General features: G+C 43.7%; 1 protein-coding gene and 1 long non-coding RNA gene across 4 annotated transcripts in view; both read right to left on the reverse strand.

The window, feature by feature from the left end:
- Positions 1–23524, reverse strand: part of SLC35D2-HSD17B3 (SLC35D2-HSD17B3 readthrough) — a 148406-nt gene that overhangs the window by 82304 nt on the left and 42578 nt on the right. Inside the window, exons 9-12 of the long non-coding RNA NR_182427.1 lie at positions 19108–19175; positions 6482–6560; positions 4389–4471; positions 3389–3732 (exon numbers count right to left, since the gene is read on the reverse strand). This is a non-coding gene — a long non-coding RNA (SLC35D2-HSD17B3 readthrough). The remainder of the gene's footprint in view (positions 1–3388; positions 3733–4388; positions 4472–6481; positions 6561–19107; positions 19176–23524) is intronic.
- Positions 1–23524, reverse strand: part of SLC35D2 (solute carrier family 35 member D2) — a 70268-nt gene that overhangs the window by 4166 nt on the left and 42578 nt on the right. Inside the window, exons 9-12 of one of the 3 annotated variants that reach the window (NR_104627.2) lie at positions 19108–19175; positions 6482–6560; positions 4389–4471; positions 3389–3732 (exon numbers count right to left, since the gene is read on the reverse strand). Coding sequence is in view for 2 of the 3 variants with exons in the window: in NM_007001.3 (NP_008932.2) it covers positions 3633–3732; positions 4389–4471; positions 6482–6560; positions 19108–19175 (330 nt within the window). In the remaining variant the exon portion in view is untranslated. Of the gene's footprint in view, positions 1–3100; positions 3733–4388; positions 4472–6481; positions 6561–19107; positions 19176–23524 lie in introns of those variants that run through there. The other 2 variants (NM_007001.3, NM_001286990.2) reach the window with 2 other exon arrangements.

The following is a 23524-nucleotide window of genomic DNA, read 5'->3' on the forward strand; positions in this document are numbered from 1 at the left end:
AAATTAAAGATTTTTTTAAAAAATTGGAAGAAAGAAGGAAATTAGTTTTTGTTTGTTTTGCTTAGCATCTTTGGTCTCTGGAATTCAAAAAGTATGTTGATGCAACAGGAGGTAGTTAACAAAAGTTTGGATGGCCAGGTACAGTGGCTCAAGCCTGTAATCCCAGCACTCTGGGAGGCCGAGGAGGGTGGATCACCTGAGGCCAGGAGTTCGAGACCAACCTGACCAACTGGTGAAACCCAGTCGCTACCAAAAATACAAAAAAAAAAAAAAAATAGCCAGGCGTAGTGGCGTACGCCTATGATCCCAGCTACTTGGGAGGGAGGCTGAGACACAAGATCACTTGAACCTAGGAGTTCGAGATTGTAGTGAGCCGAGATCATGCCACTGCACTCCAGACTGGGAGACAGAGCAAGACGTTGTCTCAAAAAAAAAAAAAGTCTGGGAGCTCCAAGTTTACACTCCAGAAGCCTTTTAATTATTTTATCTTACTATTTGTGCTTGTAGACACAGATCTTGCCATATTGCCATGCCCAGCCCTCCAGAAGCCTCTTAAAAGCACATTGAAGGCTGGGCACAGTGGCTCACACCTGTAATCCCTACACTTTAGGAGGCCAGGGTGGGAGAATCACTTGAACTTGGGAGTTCGAGATCAGCCTGGGCAACAGGGCAAGAGTCTGTCTCTACAAAAACTATTTAAAATTAGGCAGGCTAATTTTTTAGTAGTGGTCCCAGCTCCTCGGGAGGCTGAGGTGGGAGGATCGCTTGAGCCTGGAAGATGGAGACTGCAGTGAGCCGAGATCATGCAACTGCACTACAGCCTGGGAGACAGAGTGAGACTCTCTCTCAAAAATAATAATAATAAAATAAATTAAATATAAAAGCGTATTGAAACAGTAAAGAACTCCTACAACTCAACAACAATAAAACAAACAATTTGATTAAGAAATGGGCAATGGACTTGAATAGACATTTATTTAAGAAGATAAATAAATGGCCAACAAGTACATGAAAAAATGCTCAACACCACTAATCGATTAATTAGGGAAATACAAATCAAAACCAAAACACAGCCAGGCAGGTGAGCCTGTAGTCTCAGCTACTCCAGAGGCTGAGGCAGGAGGATCATTTGTGCCCAGGAGTTGCAGACCATCCTGGGCAACATAGTGAGATCCCATCTCTAAAAACAAAATAAAATAAAAATAAATTATTTTTTAAAACATCCATTATGATGGCTACTAGTAAAAATGAAACAGAAAATAACAAATGTTATTGAGGTTGTGGAGAAATTGGAACCCTTGATGGCGGGAATGTAAAATGGTGCAGCCACTATAGAAAACAGCATAGCAGGTCCTCAAAAACCTAAAAATAGAAAGACCACAGGATCCAGCTATTCCACTTCTAGGCATATATCTAAAAAAATTGAAAGCAGAGCCTTGAAGACATATTTGAACACCCATATTAATAGCAGCATTGTTCATAATAGCCAAATGGTGGAAGCAAGCCGAGTGTCCATCAGCAGATGACTGGATAAACAGAATGCGGCAAATCCACACCACACATTCAGACGTAAGGAAGGATGCTCTGCATGCTACAACATGGATGAACCTCGGTGATATGGTGCTAAGTGAATAAACCTGTCACAAAAACTATGTGATTCTACTTATATAAGGTATCTTGAATAGTCAAACTCACAAAGAGAGTAGAATGGGGGTTGCCAGGGGCCGGAGGGATGGGGAAATGGGAGTTCTTGTTTCATGGGTACAGAGTTTCGGTTTTGCAAGATGAAAAAGTTCTAGAGGTAGGTTGCACAATCAGTATGGTTACTCCTACTGGACTGTATACACTTAAAAATGGTTAGGATGGTAAAGTCTGTTATGTATTTTACCACAATTTAAAAAAAAAGTTTTTTTTGAGACAGGGTCTCACCATGTCACTGAGGCTGGAGTGTAGTGGCGTGACCACAGCTCACTGCAGCCTCAACCTCCCAGGCTCAAGCAATCCTCCCACCTCAGCCTCCCCAGTAGCTGGCATCAGAGGTGTGCGCCACCATGCCTGGCTAATTTTTTTGTAGAGATGATGTTTCGGCCATGTTACCCAGGCTGGCCTCAAACTCCTAGGCTCAAGCGATTTTCCCACCTCAGCCTCCCAAAGTGTTGGGATTACAGGCGTGAACCGCCGCACCCAGCCACATAAAAATCCACACGATTCCTTCCTGTGTTGGCCTGCTCCAGATCTGGCTCAGCTTCTCGAAACTCAGAAAGTTGCAGCTTGCAAGGATTTAGAGATCTAGTTGAATTTTACAGATTAAAATACTAGAGGCCACAACGGGCCAAGTGACTTGGGAAAGGTCTCCCGAGTTTAATAGTAGAGACAAGATTAGTTAGTCTGGCTCCTGACTCCCAGACTGTGGCTCTATCCCGCACTCCAGTTCCAGTGGGGACACCCATTCCCACGCAGGGAGGGAAAAGGCACCCTATCCATTTGGGCCTCCTTCCCATACACCAGGGGTTGGCGGTAGGTGAGCATGTGAGGAAATGCACCTGTGGTAAAAGCTCCTGAACAAACCTGGAGGGAGATGAGAAGAAACAAACAGGTGAGCGCTTAAATGCTAACAGGATTGGCCGGGTTCGGTGGCTCACGCCTGTGATCCCAGCACTTTAGGAGGCCAAGGTGGGCAGATCACCTGAGGTCAGGAGTTCAAGACTAGCCTGGCCAACATGAGGCCAAACCTTGTCTCTACTAAAAATACAAAAATTAGCAGGGCGTGGTGGCAGATGCCTGTAATCCCAGCTACTCGGGAGGCTGAAGCAAGAGAATCACTTGAACCCGGGTGGCAGAGGCTGCAGTGAGCCGAGATTGCACCACTGCACTCCAACATGGGGAATAGAGTGAGACTCTGTCTCAAAAAAAAAAAAAAAATAGCTAACAGGATAAAGCCTGAGTATTTTTTTTTTCCCATTGAGTTACTTTGTAGCTTTCCCCAACCTCGAGTCATAAAGGAGTCTGGAATTGTCCCTTCAAGGTGACACATTCTGTTACATTGTGAATGATGGGCACCGTTTTCTGCCTCCAATAATATCACATGATGAGGCATACATAGAAATGATTTTTTATTTACTTTGATGATTAGGGAAAGATACCAACATAGCTTTCATCAAAGCTAACAAATAACTTTACTGGCAGTTAACTAATTTTATTAGACTAAAGACATGTCTGTTTAAACTGAAACAACTGGCCCTTTGCTTTGGCTGGGACCTTGGGAATCACGGCCAAGGTGCTGATCAGAAAAGAGTCACCATTACATCAACCTCCTCCCCAGCACACAGCACAGAGATGCCACGAAGGCCCCATAGGTCCCTAGAAGAGCAGCTGGGGCTCCACCTACCGAGTCCCAGTGGCTTATTTTGAAAAGATTTGCTTTCCACAGGTAAGGTGTCGCCCGAGTACATTTCTTGAGACTGCCATTGGCTCATCCTGCATATGAGGTAGTTCTCTTTGCATTTTGCAGATGCTCTCACTTGCCCAGGGGGTGGATGTCACGAATCCGAAACCTCTGGCTTCACATTCCTACTGGGAATGCCCCCCCAGCCCGCAGTCACAAGTCAGTCTCCAATCCTGCTGCAGACTCTTTAGCTCTTCAAATCCAAACAGATGTTTTCTTCACCCACAGGTTTAGGTTTTAACTGGCTGCTCAGTGTTAAAAAGGAATATCTCAAGCCCCCTGCCATGCTGAAAGGAGAAAAAAAAGTGAAAATAAATGACTGGGAATTTCACAGGGGCTCCAGCAGCAGTTGCTGGCGTTTTTATCAATACACCTGCTTCATGCGGAGGGAATTATTCCAATATCTGTGTTTCTCCTCAAGTTTGTGGATTGCTTGATGAGAATTTCCCCTTATTTACAAGCCTTTGGAGGCAGAAAAAGAGTCATCAAATCTAATGCAGAACCTCAGAGAGAAAATAAGCACTTGGTTTCTACTGAATAAACTACATACCCTTAGCCTTAAATAGTATCCCACTGCTGAGACCCCAAATGCCTTTCAAAGCTGGCTTAGTCCACACCCCCTGCATGCCGAGCCTAGTGGGCACAAAGGTTAACACCCTCCACTTTATAGGAGGAGGGCAGAGAACGCAGGGGCCTGCTGTGAGGAAGACAGGTGAGTTAAATTCCGATCCCAGCCCCGCAAACTGCCATCACACGTGTCCCCATGGATCTGCATGAGGATGAACCCAGTGATGAAGTAAAATTATCTTAGAAATTAGAATGTCAAAACGCCTCCTGGCTTAACGTGAAAGACTTCTCCAGGCTCTTTTGCTTATTACATATTAATCAGAGTGTTTAAGGTTCTTGTCTTCCCAAAGCGAGTCCATTAAAAATTCCCACTCACCAAATATTTAACCCTACAAAGTTTAACAAAGAGAAAATGTAGTCTCCACCGATTAATATCCCAATGTAGGCAACGGATACATTCTGCAGAAAAAGAGAGAGGATTCGTCATTTTAAAAGTAAACTGTTTAGGGGAAAATATAAATAGTAAAACCTGAAACTAGACATTTTAGTTACTTTGCATAGAGACTTGTACATAGGGATATTCACAGGTGGTTGAACAAAATAAAAACCATTACAGGCCAGGAATGATGGCTCACGCCTGTAATCCCAATACTTTAGGAGGCCAAAGTCAAAGGATCACTTGAGCCCAGGAGTTTAAGACCAGCCTGGGCAACATAGTGAGATCCCATCTCTACAAAAAATTTTTTAAAAGTAGCCGGGCATGGTGGCACATGCCTGTAATCCCAGCTACTCCACACGGACTGAAGTGGGAGGATTGCTTGAGCCCAGGAAGTCAAGGCTGCAGTGAGCTACATGCCACTGTACTCCAGCCTGGGCAACAGAGCAAGACCCTGCCTCAGAAAAATAAATAAATAAGCCATTACATATGGGGCTTACTAAATAAATGCAGTAAATTATGGTATGATAACAACAGAAAATTGCATTATTCTCTCTCTTGATCCAGTTGGCATGCAGGCAAAAGAGGAAGAGTGGGGCTGTCATCAGCTTGCCAGGTTCCTATCTCTTTACTATCATTGGGTAGTGAGGTTTTCTGGGGTTTTTTTTTTTTTTTTTTTGAGACAGAGTCTCACTCTGTTGCCCAGGCTGGAGTGCAGTGGCACAATCTCAGCTCACTGCAACCTTTGCCTCCCAGGTTCAAGAGATTCTCCAGTCCAGCCTCCCAAGTAGCTGGGACTACAGGGCACTCACCACCACGCCTGGCTCATTTTTGTACTTTTAGTAGAGATGGTGTTTCGCCATACTGGCCAGGCTGGTCTCTAATTCCTGACCTCAGGTGATCCGCCTGCCTTGGCCTCTCGAAGTGCTGGGATTACAGGCATAAGCCACTGTGCCTGGTTTTTCTTTTTTTTTTTTTTTTTCAACCTTGGGCTCCCACACTACACTGCAATCTGTGGACACAACAGGGCCAAGTAGTGAGTTAATTATCTTGATCGTAAACTTGAGCAGAGTGGAGACAGTCAACAAATTCCAGGCCGTGCTCTGCCCAGTGCATTCTAGGAGACCTCTGGGCACCCAGGGGACAGGTAAACTCTTGAAGCAGGCAGTGTTTTCACACACTCTAGGACTTCATGTGAATAGAAAAATGAAGCAATTATGGAATAGAATCCAGAACACCTCTCCCCCTATTCATTCATGTGCATGTGTGTGTATTCAGATGCATCCACACAAGCAAACACCCACACACCAACCCACCAGCTCATGATCTCACCACACAGCATACACCTCCACAAGGGCTCCACTTCTCAGTGGGCAGGTTCTCCCAGAAAACCAAATTATGGATCACAAGGTATCTTGCTAATCATTGATACCTGGACTGATTTTATTCTTTTTAGCTTTTTACTTCATTTTCCCAGACCCACCCCCTCTGAGCCACCCCCAACTTAAAAGTTATAATTCATCTCTCCTTTATAAATTAGCAATCTGTCCCTCTATTCTATGCAATAGATTAGAAGAAGTAAGACGGGGCCGGGCTCGGTGGCTCACGCCTGTAATCCCAGCACTTTGGGAGGCCGAGGTGGGTGGATCACGAGGTCAGGAGTTCAAGACCAGCCTGGCCAACATGGTGAAACCTGGTCTCTACCAAAAATATAAAAAATTAGCCGGGTGTGGTGGCAGGCGCCTGTAATCCCAGCTGCTCGGGAGGCTGAGGCAGGAGAACCGCTCGAACCAGGGAGGTGGAGGTTGCAGTGAACCAAGATCGTGTCACTGAACTCCAGCCTGGACAACAGAACGAGACTCTGTCTCAAAAAAAAAAAGAAGTAAGATGGGATCACACAGGCCGAGCTGAAAAGGTCACAGCCCTCGTTCTTACACCACCACCAACAACAAAATCAAACCCGGCCTCCCATGGAATATTTGGATTTCCATTCCTTGACTCAGTTGTTCCCTTCCAAGTTTCCATCCACTCACCTTGATGGCTCCAACCACTGCTGTCGTCAGGGCTGAATTGTAATAGCTGCACAGAACCGTGGAGTACATCAGCAGAAACCTGTGACAAGGAAGCAGACACTGGAGTGTGTGCCTCACTACGCTGGGTAATGACAAATAGGTTAAGGCCAGCAGTGACCCCCACACAAGCACTTTAAGCGAAGAAAAAAGAAACACATATCATAAAGGTTTTGTAACCCACATCTTAAGATATGTTGCTATTGGTCTTATGACAGGAAAATGGTCCAGCTGTGAATTAGCTAAACCTTCTACTTAAGGTATCCTTCTCATTTTCTCTGTACATTTCCAATGAATGTTTCCACAACATGGGAGTAAGGAGAACAAGGTTTAATGACCTGAAATCTCTCATTTATCAGCATGTTAAATGAAGTTAAGAATTGGAGTTTTTAATCCTCTGTGCCTCAGAATCGCCTGCTGCACTTTTTTTTTTTTTTTTTGGTGGGGACGGAGTCTCGCTCTGTCACCCAGGCTGCAGTGCAGTGGTGCAATCTCGGCTCACTGCAACCTCCACCTCCTAGGTTCCAGCAATTCTCCTGCCTCAGCCTTCCAAGTAGCTGGGACTACAGGCTCATGCCGCCATACCCAGCTACTTTTTTTTGTATTTTAGTAGAGATGGGGTTTCACCATGTTGCCCAGGCTGGTCTTGAACTCCTGAGCTCAGGCAATCCACCCGCCTTGGCCTCCCAAAGTGCTAGGATTACAGGCGTGAGCCACCGCGCCTGGCCCGCCTGCTGCACTTCCAACACACAACGAACGATGCCTGGCAGAGGTTCTGCTTCACATGGTTTGAGGTGGGGCCCCGACCGTGCACGATATGAAAGATCCTCAGGTGATTCTGATCTGTAGCCAGAGCAGAGGACCTCTGGTGTCAGAAGAGAAAATCAGCTGAGCGATTGCTGCCTTGGACGGAGGAGATTGAAATAGATTCCACTTGTGGATAATGCTCCTGTAACTGTTACCAAAGTTAACTCAGGCACTTAACATGACCGTAGGTATTGATACTTACTTGCCAATAAAATGACTACAGCCTTGTGGATGAGCGCCAGACAAGAAAACACATACACAGGTAAAGAATGCCAAATCCAGTCAGGTAAAGAAGCGAGCTAATTCCAGTCAAGCAGTGATGGAAATTAGCTGCAACCTCACCTAAGCTGCAACTCAGATCAGATGATGGAATGTTGAAAGGGATTACAAACTGGCTGAGAAAGAAACATGGATGGTACAAGGAGAGTACAAGATGTGTGAGATTTGAAAAGCTAAATCCCAGGTCAGGTTCGGCACGGTGGCTCATGCCCATAATCCCAGCACTTTAGGAGGCAGAGGTGGGTGAATCACCTGAAGTCAGGAGTTCGAGACCAGCATGGCCAACATGGTGAAACCCTGTCTCTACTAAAAATACAAAAATTAGCCGGGCGTGGCGGCACATGCCTGTAATCCCAGCTACTCGGGAGGATGAAGCAGGAGAATTGCTTGAACCCAGGAGGCGGAGCTGAGATCATACCACTGCACTCCAGCCTGGGTGACAGGGCGAAACTCCATTTCAATTAATTAATTAATTAATTAGTCCCAGGTTAAAGGCAGGAACTTGGATTCACCATTGACAGAGAGAAGTGAACTCAACTCTAGCAAAGGGGTTAGTGCACCTGCACTTGGGTAAGCACAGAATTTATTTAATTCTAGAATCCTGCTAGAATTCAACACTCGGTCTTGGTCCTAGGCTCAAATCTCTGGTGAAGATCACAGTCACAAACCTTCAACACGATAACCTCTGTTGGCCTGAGTGTGTTTATTACTAGAGGTGGTAGAGGGAAAAAAATCAGAATATCAAGCTTTACAAGTTGAAGAATAAACTTAACTTCAAACTTAAATTTTGTAATCTTTGCAATACTGTGTGCATTGTAATTAAAACAATTTGAAAAGTTAAAGAAACTCTGTGGTTCTAATTTGAAATATATAATTGATATTAGACTTGCAATTTTAATTTGAAAGAAGAGCGTCGAAGTCTGCATCAGGATTTGAATGTTTTTAAGAAGCTGATTTACCCCATTTCTAAATTTGGTTTATTCTATTTCAAAGAGTTGCTTAAGTACAGAAAGCAATCTACTAGCTTTGTTAATTGGCCTCAGGGGTTGGAATTGCTGAAGAAAAAGTAGGCAGCTCCCATTTGTAAAAACAGTTGAAAATGCTTAAATTCTTTTAATTCACTAAGTTGTAAATGGAACTGATTTACAGTACATTGTTTAGGGGATTTTAATCAGCTAAACTTGAGTTAATAAGCCATTTATCAAATAATGAAAGTAAATGTTCTTTTATAGAAAAATTGTTAGCCTTCTAAATAAGGCAATAATATTTGTAAGTTGAACTTTAAGGCTTAAGAAAAAATCTAAGTTTCGGCCAGGTGTGGTGGCTCACGCCTGTAATCCCAGCAGTTTGGGAGGCCAAGGCAGGCAGATCACAAGGTCAGGAGATTGAGACCATCCTGGCCAACATGGTGAAACCCTGTCTCTAATAAAAATACAAAAAAAATTAGCCAGGCATGGTGGCATGCGCCTGTAATCCCAGCTACTCGGAGGCGCTGAGGCAGGAGAATTGCTTGAGCCTGAGAGGCGGAGGTTGCAGTGAGCCGGGATCGCACCACTGCACTTTAGCCTGGGCAACAGAGCGAGACTCTGTCTCAAAAAAAAAAAAAAAAGAAAATCCAAGTTTCTCAAATTGTTATAATTTTAATAAATCTAACATTAATTTAGATTCCCAGGAGCTATAAATAATCCTATTTATCCATACAATGAAAAAATTAAAAAACTCAAACTGATGCCACTGAGTGCCTGCTCTGCCAGGCCCTGGCTGTCAGAGGGGACCATCCCATCCACAGCACCTGCCCCGGAGCCACTCAGACCCAGATCAGAGGAGAGAGCTGCACAGCAGCGGGAGCACAGCACAGGGCCCAGCCCAACGCAGGGGCAGAGAGGAGCTTCCTGCAGGCCGCCTATGCACCAGCACAGCCTTAAACCAAGGACAGCATGGATGTTCTTTATTTCCACTTTTGCTTTAAAATTCCAACTCCAGGGTTCCAATCATGCAACATTTTCTCCATCCTCCATTTTTCTTTTCTTAAAAAAGGGTTGGGGGGAACCTCATCTCTTGACAAGATCTGGCTATATTACCCAGGCGGGACATGAATGCCTGGGTTCAAGTGATCCTCCCGCCTGTCTTCCAAGTAGCTGGGACTACAGATGTGTGTCGTCACACCCAGCTCCATCTTAGTGAAACCACCTCAGCCTGCATTCAGAATCAGAAGACATCATGGATCTAAGATCCCAGCACCCATCCATCATGAGTGTGGGTGACTAGGACATCACTCACCAGCTGGGCTGAGCCAAGGGAGGAGAATCCCTCCCTAACATTCTGGAGTGAGCCTCAGTGAGCAGCCATCCTCCTTAGCAACAGATGGCGGCTAGATAGAAGGGCTGCACTTCTTTTTTCTTTTTCTTTTTCTTTTTTTTTTTTTTAAAGATGGGGTCTCACTCTTTCGCCCAGGCTGGAGCGCAGTGGTGTGATCATGGTTCACTGCAGCCTCCACCTCCCAGGCTCAAGCAATCCTCCCACCTCAGCCTCTCAAGAAGCTGGGACTACAGGTACACATCACTAAACTTGGCTAATTTTTAAATTTTTTCTAGATACAGAGTCTTGCTATCTTGCCCAGGCTGATCTGGAACTCTGGGGCTCAAGCAATCCTCCCTCTCTGGCCTCCCAAAGTGCTGGGACTATAGGAATTAGTCACCACTCCCAGCTTGCACTTCTTAATATACCCACTAGATGTCCCCAGAGAGGGCAAATATAGAACCACCAGGCTCAAAGTAGCAGTATATTACATTTTTTAAAAGAATCTATTTCTATATGCAAAAAAAACTTGCATAGTTCTTTGGCCAAAACCAAGACTTTGAACTAAAAGAACCTTCGTTAACTCAGTACTCAGTGCAAGGGAAACCTCACCACTTTTATTACTGAAAATATCAACCTCCACATGACTAGCTTTGATTTTACTATCTGTAGATTAATAAAATACAAAGATATTTAAAAGTATTGCTGAATTCTTAGTAACCTTTTTTACCATTCTATATTTTTTAGATAGGGTCTCACTCTGTTGCTCAGGCTGGAGTACAGTGGCACAATCACAACTCACTGGGCTCACATGAGCCCAGCCTCCATCTTCTGGGCTCAGGTGGTCTTCCCACCTCAGCCTCCCAAAGTGCTGGGATTACAGGTGTGAGCCACCACGCCCAGCGTGCTCTGTATTTTGAAGTCATGATATTATCTGTGTACATTTGAAATATAACAGCACATACATCTGATGCACATTTATTCAGACAACAGAGGCCAGCTGAGTGTTCTGCTTCTAGGGCCCCCAGGGTGGAGGTGCCCAAGTAGAAACTCCTGGACCAGAGCCTCTGCTCAAAGCCTTCTTCTTCCTGTTCTAAAAACAGCACAAAAAGTAACTGCCTTACCCAACATTGTGGCAGTCACAAACAGAACTCAAATGACCTAGTTTATACCTTGTCACTGATTACCGTTCCCTGCCCCAACAAATATAGAAACTCAACAAACGTTCAAATATTCACAGGCCACTTTTGCATTCTTTCCACCATCCACAATGGTACCCAAGCACATCATTCTCTTATAATTCCAGATTTCAAAGAATTCCAAGGAACCCCATCCTCACCATCTCTAGGAAGAACTCACTCCTAAGAACTCACAGAGTGCCAGCCTGGACAACATGGTGAAACCCCGTCTCTACTAAAAATACAACAATTAGCTGGGCTTGGTGGCTGGAACCTATAATCTCAGCTACTCAGGAGGCTGAGGCAGGAGAATCGCTTGAACCCAGGAGGCGGAGGTTGCAGTGAGATGAAATCGCGTCACTGCATTCTAGCCTGGGCAAACAGAGTGAGACTCCATCTCAAAAAAAAAAAAAAAAGACATTATTTATGTCTTTTAAAGGACAGAAATTCTACAAGATTGAATAATTTGGCAGGAGACATTTACATATATACACACACACATATACATATATACTTTTATATATATAAATACACACTTTTTTATATATATACTTTTTTTAGAGACAGGCTCTCCCTCTGTTGCCCAGGCTGGAGTGTAGTGGTGCCATCATAGCTCACTGCAGCCTCAAACTCCTGAGCTCAAGCAATCCTCCTGCCTCACCCTCCTGAGTAGCTGGAACTACAAGAACATGCCACCACATTTGCCTAACTTTTTTCTGTAGAAATGAGTTCTCATATGTTGCCCAGGCTGGTCTCAAACTCCTGGCCTCAAGTGATCCTCCCACTCAGCCTCCCAAACAAAGCTTTGGGGCTACAGGCATGAGCCACTGTGTCTGGCATAGATTTCTTGTATTTCTCACCTGCATTTTCACATCTATGATCTTCAAAACACTCCTCCACTGGTACTTGGAGAGTGGCTGTGGCCCACGGATTTTGTAAGCATACGCTGTCCATTTGCAAGTTTGATAATTGCTCAGCCATTGCAATTAAGCAATGTTCTGCTTTTGCGGCACCAATAATAACTAGCTTTTAAACTTTTATTTTTCACAGCCCTTTTGTGAGAGAACATTTTCACAGATCTTTTCTGTTGTGTTGTTAGGAATACAGTAAGAAGGAATGATATTTGGCTTCCTCAATAAAGGAATCTATATTAGTCAGCGTTCCCCAGAGGAACGGAACCAATAGAACACACAAGTATAGATATATGAGAGGGGATTTATCAGGGGAATTGGCTCCCACAATTATGGAGGCTAAAAAGTCCCAAGACAGGCCATCTGCAAGTTGGAGACCCTGAGATGCCAGTAGCGTGGCTTAGGCCAAGTCCAAAGGCCTGAGAACGAGCGAAGCCTTTGGTGTAACTTGGTGGTCCAAGGCCAAAGGCCTCCTGACCACAGACTGCTGGTGGAAGCCCTAGATTCCCAAGGCCAGTGAGCCAGGAGTTCTGATGTCCAAGGCAGCAGAAGAAAGTCTGTCCCAGATTTCAAAGAGGGATGGATTCGCCTCTGTATTTGATCTCTCCATGCCCATGGCCAATTGGCTGGTGCCTGCCAACCATGAGGGCAAATCCTCCCCACCTGGTCCACTCAGACTCACAGGCCAATCTCCTGTGGAAACCCCCACACATATACACACACACAGACACCTAAAATAAAGCTTCACTGGGTTCCCAGGTATTCCTTAATCCAGTCGAATTGATACCTGAATTTAACTCCACAATTCCCCCTGCTTGTCAATTGGCACCCACAGGCATCGCCTTAAACCATACTTAAGTTTCCGAATGAAGACAGTAACAAAGAAATTTTGTTATTTAGTTGCATCCATCTGATGTGACACAACATGTATCCTGCATACAACAGAAATACACAATCCCTTCCCCAGAATTCAGCTTTCAGGATTTCAACATTTGAGATTCTACTCTTTCAGGATTATAATTTTTTGAAGTTAGATCTTTTGGGGGTTATGGCATTCAGGATAGTGTTGTGAAAGGAAAATTAAATCTCAGAACCCCAAACTCACAATGCCAAAGGGAGAAGTTAAGTCTGGAAACTGAGTCACACAAAAACTGCCTTCCATTCTGTTCCTCAATAGATAGCTGCAAAGAGAGAGGGCCACACATCTCCCCAGGTGGCCTCCCTCGCAAATTGCTCACAAGGAAGTTCCTTGCAGTTCCCAAAATCTTCACCCTAAAACAGAGTTCTGCTGAATTTCACCCTGATTTTATTTATTTATTTATTTATTTATTTTTGTCACCCAGGCTAGAGTGCAATGGCACAGCCTCGGCTCACTGCAACCTCCACCTCCCAGGTTCAAGAGATTATCGTGCCTCAGCCTCCCAAGTACCTTGGATTACAGGGGCACACTACCACGCCCCGCTGATTTTTGTATATTTAGTAGAGACAGGGTTTCGCCATGTTGGCCAGGCTGATCTCGAACGCCTGACCTCAAGTGATCTGCCCACCTCGGCCTCCCAAAGTGCTGGGATTACAGGCTTGAGCCACCATGCCCGCATGATGATGTAAATTAATAGCTTATCTTAAACAGGTATGGACAAAGACAGAACTAGAAATCATCCCTCTGCCCACTCCAAGACAAATGCGTGATTGCCTCCTCCTTCTCCTGTATGCTTGCTTTTATCTTATGTAAAATGCAGATTTGCTGAAAGCCAGACAAATGAATAATTGTTCCTCGACCCCTCCTTTCACATGTAACACGTGGATTCAGTGAGCACTAATCAAAGTCTTGCAAGAATGTAGGACTCACTCACCTTACAAGAATGTAACCACTCACTTCCTGACATACCCTCCCTCCCTTTTTTTTTCTTTCCCTCTGCCCCTCCTGCCACCCTTTCCCCTTTAAATACTGAAGTCTTCAAAATTCTCCTTGGAAAAAGCACAGGCCACAGATCCTACTGTGATTTGTGTTTCTTTTTCCCCAAGTGCATCCTCAACCTTGGAAAAATGAACCTCTAAATAGATTGAGACCTGTCTCACACACTTTTTGGTTTACAGCAGGAGTCCCCAAGCCCCAGGCCGCAGACCGGTACCAGTGCACAGCCTGTTAGGAACCCAGGTGCACAGCAAAAGGTGAGCAAGCATGTCCGCCTGAGCTCCGCCTCCTGTCAGATCAGTGATGGCATTAGGTTCTCATAGAAGCGCAAACCCTATTGTGAACTGCGCATTTGAGGGATGTAGGTTGCATGCTCCTTATAAGAATCCAATGCCTGATAATCTGAGGTGGAAGAGTTTCATCCCAAAACCATCCTTACCCATCCTGCATCCATGGAAAAATTGTCTTCCAAGAAACCGGTCCCTGGTGCTAAAAAGGTTGGGGACTGCTGGTTTACAGTGTCTTTCAGGACTGTGGTTGGCACTGGCCCTTTCACCATTCTGTCGGCTTCTTAACAAAACATTTCAAAGCGTAATAATTTTTAAATTATATTTTCAACTCAGAATAGAGGTTTGGTGGCTGAAAAGAGCAAGTCCGAAATGCAAACCTGAAAGCAATGAAAGCAGGTAAGAGGCTGAGTGGGCTCGCCTCGAGTCTGGAGTTGCGGTGTGTGTGTTAACCCTAAAACATCCCTTCGCACCCGTCAGGAGAGAAGAGACAGCCCAAGTCCAGCACCAGTCCCCAAAGCCAAGGATGTGCTGGGAAGCTTACTATGGAGATGCAGATGATCAGATCCTAGCATACTTTGACTGAGAAACTACAAGAAAGCAGTATTCTGAAAAAGCCGCCATGCCAAAATGGAAGTCTCCTTGCAGTGCAGTTTCAGACTTAAAACTTTACCATTAAAGGTAAAGTTCATGTTGGCCGGGTTCAGTGGCTCACACCTGTAATCCCAGCACTTTGGGAGGCCAAGGCAGGCAGATCACCTGAGATCAGGAGTTCAAGACCAGCCTGGCCAACAAGGTGAAACCCTGTCTCTGCTAAAAATACAAAAATTAGCCAGGCGCAGTGGTGGGTGCCTATAATCCCAGCTACTCGAGAGGCTGAGGCAGGAGAATCGCTTGAACTCAGGAGGCAGAGGTTGCAGTGAGCCGAGATCGCGCCACTGCACTCCAGACTGGGTGACACAGCGAGACTCCATCTTAAAACAAAAAAGACCCACTTTGGAAACTAACATCCACCTTGTTTCATCAAACTTGAGTAAACCTGAAATGTTAATGATTTCATCATTTTTACTGTTTTACTTATAATAACTACACCTTTGCGAATTTTTTTTTTTTTTTGAGACAGAGTCTCGCTCTGTCGCGAGGCTGTAGTACAGTGGCACGATCTCGGCTCACTGCAACCTCCAACTCTGTGGTTCAAGTGATTCTCCTGCCTCAGCCTCCTGAGTAGCTGGGATTACAGGCACATGCCACCAGGCCCAGCTAATTTTTGTATTTTTAGTAGAGATGGGGTTTCACCATGTTGGCCAGGCTGGTCTCAATCTCCTGACCTCATGATCTGCCCACCTCAGCCTCCCAAAGTGCTGGGATTACAGGCATGAGCCACTGCGCCTGGCCTGAATTTTCAATTTCTAAAATGACTACTGATAAAATAATGTATTAATAATTCTTATCAAAAGGGCATTTGTTTTTAAGAAACACATTATTAAATGGGGAAAAAAAGTATGGAATTGTAGGCCGGGCGTGGTGGCTCACGCCTGTAATCCCAGCTCTTTGGGAGGCTGAGGCGGGTGGACCACGAGGTCAGGAGATCGAGACCATCCTGGCTAACACGGTGAAACCCCGTCTCTACTAAAAAAATACAAAAAAATTAGCCGTGGTGGCGGGCGCCTGTAGTCCCAGCTACTCAGGAGGCTGAGGCAGGAGAATGGCGTGAACTCAGGAGGCGGTGCGTGCAGTGAGCCAAGATCGCGCCACCGCACTCCAGCCTGGGCGACAGAGGGAGACTCCGTCTCAAAAAAAAAAAAAAAAAAAAAAAGTATGCAATTGTAGACAGATGGGATCAAGCCTGTCATGGGCAAGCCCTGGAGGGTAACAGCTCACAGCGAGGCTGCCCGCCCTCACCCACTGAGGACAGCTGACCTCAGAGGGTCCACTTCTTGGTTTCCTTCATGGAATGGTTAAACGGTGAAGTGCATGTTAAAAACAAAAAACAAACCAAAAAAGCCAATATCTCATCAAGTTTACAATGACATGAGAAGACTTTGAAACTTTGCTCTCCTGTTCACAGAGGAATATGGGCTTAGCCAGGGAAAGGTGCTAGTCTAAGTTTGTGTACTAAGGGTTGACTTCTTATTTTTCGATTAGAGAGAAAAATAAGAGATGGTTTGACAAAGGGTGACTCACAAGCATGGCTTAGATTTTTTTTTCAAGGTTAAATGTTCCCACTCAACAACTGGGTAAACTACAGGTATTTTACTAAACTTATGCTTCCAACAATGGCTAAGTGCTCTAAGGCAGCAGTCCCCAACCTTTTTGGCACCAGGGACCGGTTTTGTGGAAGACAATTTTTCCATGAATGGGGAGGAAGTTTGGCTTGGGGCCAAACTCTAGGGGGAGGAGGGGATACTGAGCCCAGACTCCCAAAAGGCCTAAAGGGATCAAGGTCTGGGGCAACCCCTGGCTACCAGCAGAAGCAAATACAACTTGTCCCTATAGAAAAGTGTCTCAAATTCCCAATTTCAGCTCATGGGACTGATCAAAGTTAAGCAAAATGGGCCGGGTGTGGCGGCTCATGCCTGTAATCCCAGCACTTTGGGAGGCCGAGGCAGGTGGATCACCTGAGGTCAGGAGTTTGAGACCACCCTAGCCAACATGATGAAACTCCGTCTCTACTAAAAATACAAAAATTAGCCAGGTGTGGTGGTGGGCAACTGTAATCCCAGCTACTCAGGAGGCTGAGGCAGGAGAATCACTTGAATGCAAGAGGCAGAGGTTGCAGTGAGCCAAGATCGTGCCACTGGACTCCAGCCTGGGAGACAAAGTGAGACTCCATCTCAAAAAAAAAAATTTTTTTTAAGCAAAATGCTCACAATCACAGGTCACCAAACACAGAAGAAAGCAAACCACAATGAACATCGCCTGAAACAAAAAAACTGCATGCTTAAATTCTCAAGAGCTGCTGCCAATGCTGGGATTGTCAGATACAGAATATGGAATAGCTGTGTGTGACACCTAAAGAAATAAAAGGCACAGTCACAAGGATCACCAGTGAGAGTATTCTAAATGAACAGATACGTTTGGGAAAAAACTGTGGAACTTTTACAAATAAAATATAAAATTGTTAAAATCAAAAACTCCATCAACATTAAATCATTAAATCAGACACAGCTAAAGAGAGAACTAATGAATGGAAGATAGACAGAAATGTTTTTACTGCATGTGAGTACATCATTGCAATTGAAATCAAGTTTGAGAATTGAAGAGTGTTGATCAAAGAGGTCAGGAGTTGTCTTTGTTCATTTACACAGAATGAAAAGTGTGGCAGGTGAGAGGGAATCCATCTTCCTTCACAGGAAAAATCATTTGATGAGTAATTCCCTGCTATAGGAATTCAAGGGCCCCTTCAGTATGGGAGAAGGTACCAATGCCTGTATTGGAATGAATGCCCGCTCAGGGAGGATACTCCCAAGATTTCCAACAGTGTTGCCTCTGGGGAAGAAAACTACAGTGTGGAGGCGAGGAAGAATGGAGGGGAGTTGGTGTTCCCTATTTATTCTTTTTGTTTGTTTGTTTGTTTGAGATGGAGTCTCCTCTGTCACCCAGGCTGGAGTGCCGTGGCGCGATCTTGGCTCACTGCAACCTCCACCTCCTGGGTTCAAGCGATTCTTCTGCCTCAGACTCCTGAGTACCTGGGACAACAGGTGTGCATCACCACACCCAGCTAATTTTTGTATTTTTAGTAGAGATGGGGTTATGCCATGTTGGCCAGGCTGGTCTCAAACTCCTGAACTCAGGTGATCCACCTGCCTCAGCCTCCCTATTTATTCTTTTGCACCTTTTTAATGATTTCCTAGTTGCATGTATCACCTATTCATGCAAAGGGATTTTCAAGTCTTTAGAAGACTGAAATAGACACAAACTATATGGTCTCTCAACCAGAAGATATACCTAAAGAAAATTTCAAGAACGGGGCCAGGCGCGGTGGCTCACGCCTGTAATCCCAGCACTTTGGGAGGCTGAGGTGGGCAGATCACAAGGTCAGGAGATTGAGATCATCCTGGCTAATACAGTGAAACCCCATCTCTACTAAAAATACAAAAAATTAGCCAAGTGTGGTGGTGCATGCCTGTAATCCCAGCTACTCGGGAGGCTGAGGCAGAATTGCTTGAACCTGGGAGGCAGAGGTTGCAGTAAGCCAAGATTGTGCCACTATACTCTAGCCTGGGCAACAAAGCAAGACTCCATCTTCAAAAAAAAAAAAAAAGAAAGAAAGAAAATTTCAAGAACAAAAAAGCCTAACTGTTGGACAATACAACAGCCTGGACATCTCTCTTTAGAAATTTTCCTGAATATAGCAGGTATAGCACTATAGGAAAAGGCTGTCATAGTCACATAATTATTTGAGGAAGGGATCTTGAAAAACTAAGGACATGGTGACAAAGATGAAAACATATTACTGCCAGGCCTGGAGGCAGGAGCCTGTAGTCCCAGCTAATCAGGAGGCTAAGGTAGGAAGATTGCTTGAGCCCAGGAGTTTGAGTCCAGCCTGGGCAACACAGTGAGACCCCATCTCTTAAAAAACAAAAACCAAAAAATCCTCAGCATTGAACTTGAAATGTCAGCTGACTTCATTTCAGACAAACTTTCAGAAATCAATAGGCAACATCATATTTTGAAGAAGAACAGGACATTAGCATGACTTTCAAAAACAAGAGTTGTATGCTTGTTCCTGGTCTTTCAGGCTGGGTTTCCAGGTATCCTGGGTCCCTGACACCTCCTTTGCTGCAGGGGTACTTTCCAGAGAAAGTCAGAGAAACACAAAGGAATTCTGACAGAATAGACAGAAGGCATATCTTGATTTGACTTGTCAAGAGATACTGTTGACCAATGCTTCTACTTATCTATGGTTTCTTACCCCAAAAAACAGGAAAGAAGAAACTGTAGGATAAACACAACATTCTTCCATTGGTTGAATTCAGTAGCCTATTATTAAAAAGAAAAAAACTAATGATTAGGTTAATAATACTGCAGTTTAAATTTACTGGTTTTACCAAACTGCATTTTGATACAGGAACCATCTTCCCAAACAGAAAACATAAAGCTAAAAATCCTAGGTCATACTAGTTGTGGGACATTGGGCAAATTTATTTTCTTCCCTGAACTTCAGATTCATTTTACAAAATCTAGCTTATTTAAAAAAAGGAAAGCCTTCCTCAAAACGTTGATATAAGGACTGAAAGAAATTGTTTAGGACTGTGCTGATGGCCAGCACAAAATCGCAAACGCTATTATCGCTGAGGCTATCATTGATTCACTGACTTTATACACCTTTACTAATTTAATTTGTGGTCCCAAATTCAAGGTTGGGTTTATTTTTTATAAATCGTTTTAGAAGAAAGTTAATTATCTCTTTTTTTTCTTTCTTTTTTCAGACCAGGTCTTGCTCTGTCACCCAGGCTGGAGTGCAGTGGTGTGATCATGGCTCACTGCAGCCTCTACCTCCTGGGATCAATCAGTTCCTCCCACCTCAGTCTCCTGAGTAGCTGGGACTACAGGCACAGGCCACCATGCCTGGCTAATTTTTTTTTTTTCTTTAAGTAGAGACAGGGTCTCACCATGTTGCCCAGGCTGGTCTCAAACTCCTGGGCTCAAGTCATCTGCCTGCCTTGGCCTCCCAAAGTACTGGGATTACAGGCATGAACCACCACACCCAGCCAAAAAGTTTATTCTTAATTAATAATGTAGGCAAGAAAAGTTTAAGGTCATAAACTGTTCTCAGGAACTTGCACATGCTTAGGAAGTATTGTGAACAAATAAACTATTATTTGCTACTTATAAAGCAATCAAGTAATTGGGGTGGAGGACATGGTAGACAAAGAAGTTTAAGACTTCATTTTTGGCCGGGCGCAGTGGCTCACGCTTGTAATCCCAGCACTTTGGGAGGCCGAGGCGGGTAGATCACCTGAGGTCAGGAGTTTGAGACCAGCCTGGCCAACATGGTGAAACCCTATCTCTACGAAAAATACAAAAATTAGCCAGGCGCAGGGGCAGGTGCCTGTAATCCCAGCTACTACAGGGGCTGAGGCAGGAGAATCACTTGAACCCGGGAGGCAGAGGTTGCAGTGAGCCGAGGTCACGCCATTGCACTCAGCCTGGGTAACAAAAGCAAAACTCCACCTCAAAAAAAAAAAAAAAAAAAAAAAACTCAATTTCTGCTCTCCAGGAATTTAATCCCTAGCTGAGAAAATAAAATTAACCCTCTTGAGGTGACAGGTGACAATAAGGAGTATTTTATTCATGGTTGGCCCCTGCCTGTATCCAAAAACGATCTGAAAGTGTCTGAAGACTGCCCGTAAGTATGTGCTCAATAACATGATCGAATATAAGTTCTACTCACTTTCTATTAAGCAATACTTTGTTAGCCAAGTTTTAGAAACTCAATGTATTTAAAATGAAATCTTTTAAGTTTATAATTCAAATTTTTAAACAATTAAGGTAGAATTCTCTTCTCCAATCTGTACCATCTTGTCACATTTCACTGTCATTGTTTCATGAGTAATGCTTTGCCCACTTCACTTCTCAAAAGGATACACATGACAAAAATTAGCTGGGCATGGTGGTGTGCACACTTGTAGTCCCAGCTACTGGGAAGGCTGAGGTGGGAGGATCACCTGAGCCCAGGAGATGGAGGCTGCAGTGAGCTGTGATGGTACCACTGTACTCCAGCCTGGGCAACAGAGTGAGACCCTGTCTCAAAAAAAAAAAAAAAAAATACACGTTAAATGTTCCTAATTGTTGAAACTGGCTGATGGGCATATATGTGGAGTTTGTCATGTCACTCCGTCTCCTTCTGTATATGTTTGACAGTTTCCTTGCGTCATAACACTTTTTGTTAAATGTTCACTTATGAAAGAAAAATATAATAAATATAAATCTGTCTTTCCAGCAAGCCCCAAGCTAATCAAAGGAGCAGAAAACTTCCAAAAGAATTAAAGCCAAAAAGTTTATGCTTAAGGTAGTCAAAGACCAAAACAAAACAAAACCACAAAAATCATGGGAAACACTTAGTGTCTGAAATTAAAATAAAATTGGGAATAAGAGAAATACTTAAGTTTTAAATTTCAAACCAAGGGTAGAAAAACATCTATTCTCTCAAAGAGCTAAAAGTATTTATGCAAACAGTAAAATATCAATCAATCCATTAATAAGAAATAAATAAAAACTCTATATGTGTTCCTGATACTACAAAATCCATTGAGGGCTATTTTGTGACTCTCATAAAATATTTAGATTCTTCACCAACCTAAATTTTGTTTTGTTTTTTTTTGAGATGGAGTCTCGCCCTGTCGCCCAGGCTGGAGTGCGGTGGCACGATCTCAGCTCACTGCAACCTCCACCTCTCGGGTTCAAGCGATTCTCCTGCCTCAGCCTCCCAAGTAGCTGGGACTACAGGCACTCGCCACCACACCCAGCTAATTTCTGTATTTTTAGTAGAGACAGGTTTTCACCATGTTGGCCAAGATGGTCTCGATCTCTTGACCTCATGATCTGCCCGCCTCAACCTCCCAAAGAGCCGGGATTACTGGCGTGAGCCATCGTGACCAGCCCCAACCTAAATTTTTATAGATTTTAGTTTTATTTCCTTAATAATGATGAGACGGTATTAGTGGCATTTTTAAAATAATGCAGCATGATTTATTTTTAAATCATAAAAAATAATGTAGCATTATTTATTTTTAAAAAGAAATAATCAAAGGTAAACAACAATAAAGCCCTTCTTCCTTTAGACTTACTGTTGGAACGTGAGTCTTTTTCACTTTGCACTCAGGGTTTTTTAATCAGGGAAAAAAAGTCCTATTATTTATCTCTATTCATCAACTGTAATATACTAGATGTACTTTGAACCTATTGCAGTGATTCAAATACTAAAGAAAGTTCACCCGCTGAGTATTTTCCAAGGGCCTAATTTGTTAACAAGAGAAGCTGTCATCTCTGACTTTGTTCATCAGAGATAGAATTGAGGCACTGTTAATAGATCTATTGACTGTGTAAGTCCAAAGTCTGGGCTTGAATTCCCGGAGGAATGAGTCACACACACACATTTACCACAATCTCTGATCTTCTCCATCGCTCCTAGTCCCAGTTAACCAGGGAAAATGACTCATCAAGTTTCTTTCCATTAACAAGAGAAGTTAACATTTTGCTCTAATTCATTAATCAGCTTTCAGAACACTCAAACCAAACTTGGTAAACAAAAAGCAATTTTATATTACAGGCTAACACACCTAATTCATTTCTTTCTCCTATTTGGTTTACAATCTAAAATGAATTCCACCACATTCAAAAGGGACCAATGGGAAGAAATTTGCCCTGATTCAGTGAATACAGAGCAATGTTAGTAGTGGAAATCTCACTGTTGTTTTTTGCTTTTTGTTTTTTATATGGGGTTGATGGCTTTTTTCTTGCAGATTACAGTGAGTGTCTCATATATTTTGGCATCTCGTCATACAATACTTTTAAAAACTAGTCAAACTTGGCTGGGCGCAGTGGCTCACGTCTGTAATTCTAGCATTTTGGAAGGCCGAGGCGGGCAGATCACGAGGTCAGGAGTTCGAGACCAGCCTGGCCAACATGGTGAAACCCTATCTTTACTAAAAATACAAAAATTAGCCGGGCATCATGGTGGCGGGCGCCTGTAGTTCCAGCTACTCAGGAGGCTGAGGCAGGAGAATCGCTTGAACCCAGGAGGCGGAGGTTGCAGTGAGTCGAGATCATGCCATTGCACTCTAGCCTGGGCAACAGAGGGAGACTCCATCTCAAAAAAAAAAAAAAAAAAAAAAAAAAAAAAACTAGTCAAATTTTTAACTCCATGACTTGACTTGTACTTTGTTATTTTATAGAAGGCCTTTTATTATGGTTATAACTATACTCTATATCTTCTAATTATAATTTTTCTTATTGGTTTTGAAAAACAAATCTATATAGTTAGCACTTTGGTCCATCTGGAATTTCAATGATTAGCAGTCACTCTGGCGGCTCGAAGGTACTTACAGACTTTCTAAAGGAACTTCTGTTTGAAATCTTTGAAGTCTGATCAAATAGAAGAGGCTAAACAGGGTAAATATTCGGATATTCCAGTACCACAAGCCAGAATAGGAGGAGGATATTCTCCTAGAGCATTAGGATTTAATAAAGTATATGTTAGCTGAGCACAGTGGCTCACCCCTGTAATCCCAGCACTTTGGGAGGCTGAGAAAGGCAGATCACTTGAGGTCAGGAGTTTGAGACCATCCTGGCCAACATGGTGAAACCCCGTCTCTACTAAAAATACA

The sequence above is a fragment of the Homo sapiens genome, chromosome 9, assembly GCF_000001405.40.
Source record: "Homo sapiens chromosome 9, GRCh38.p14 Primary Assembly".
NCBI lineage: Eukaryota > Metazoa > Chordata > Mammalia > Primates > Hominidae > Homo > Homo sapiens.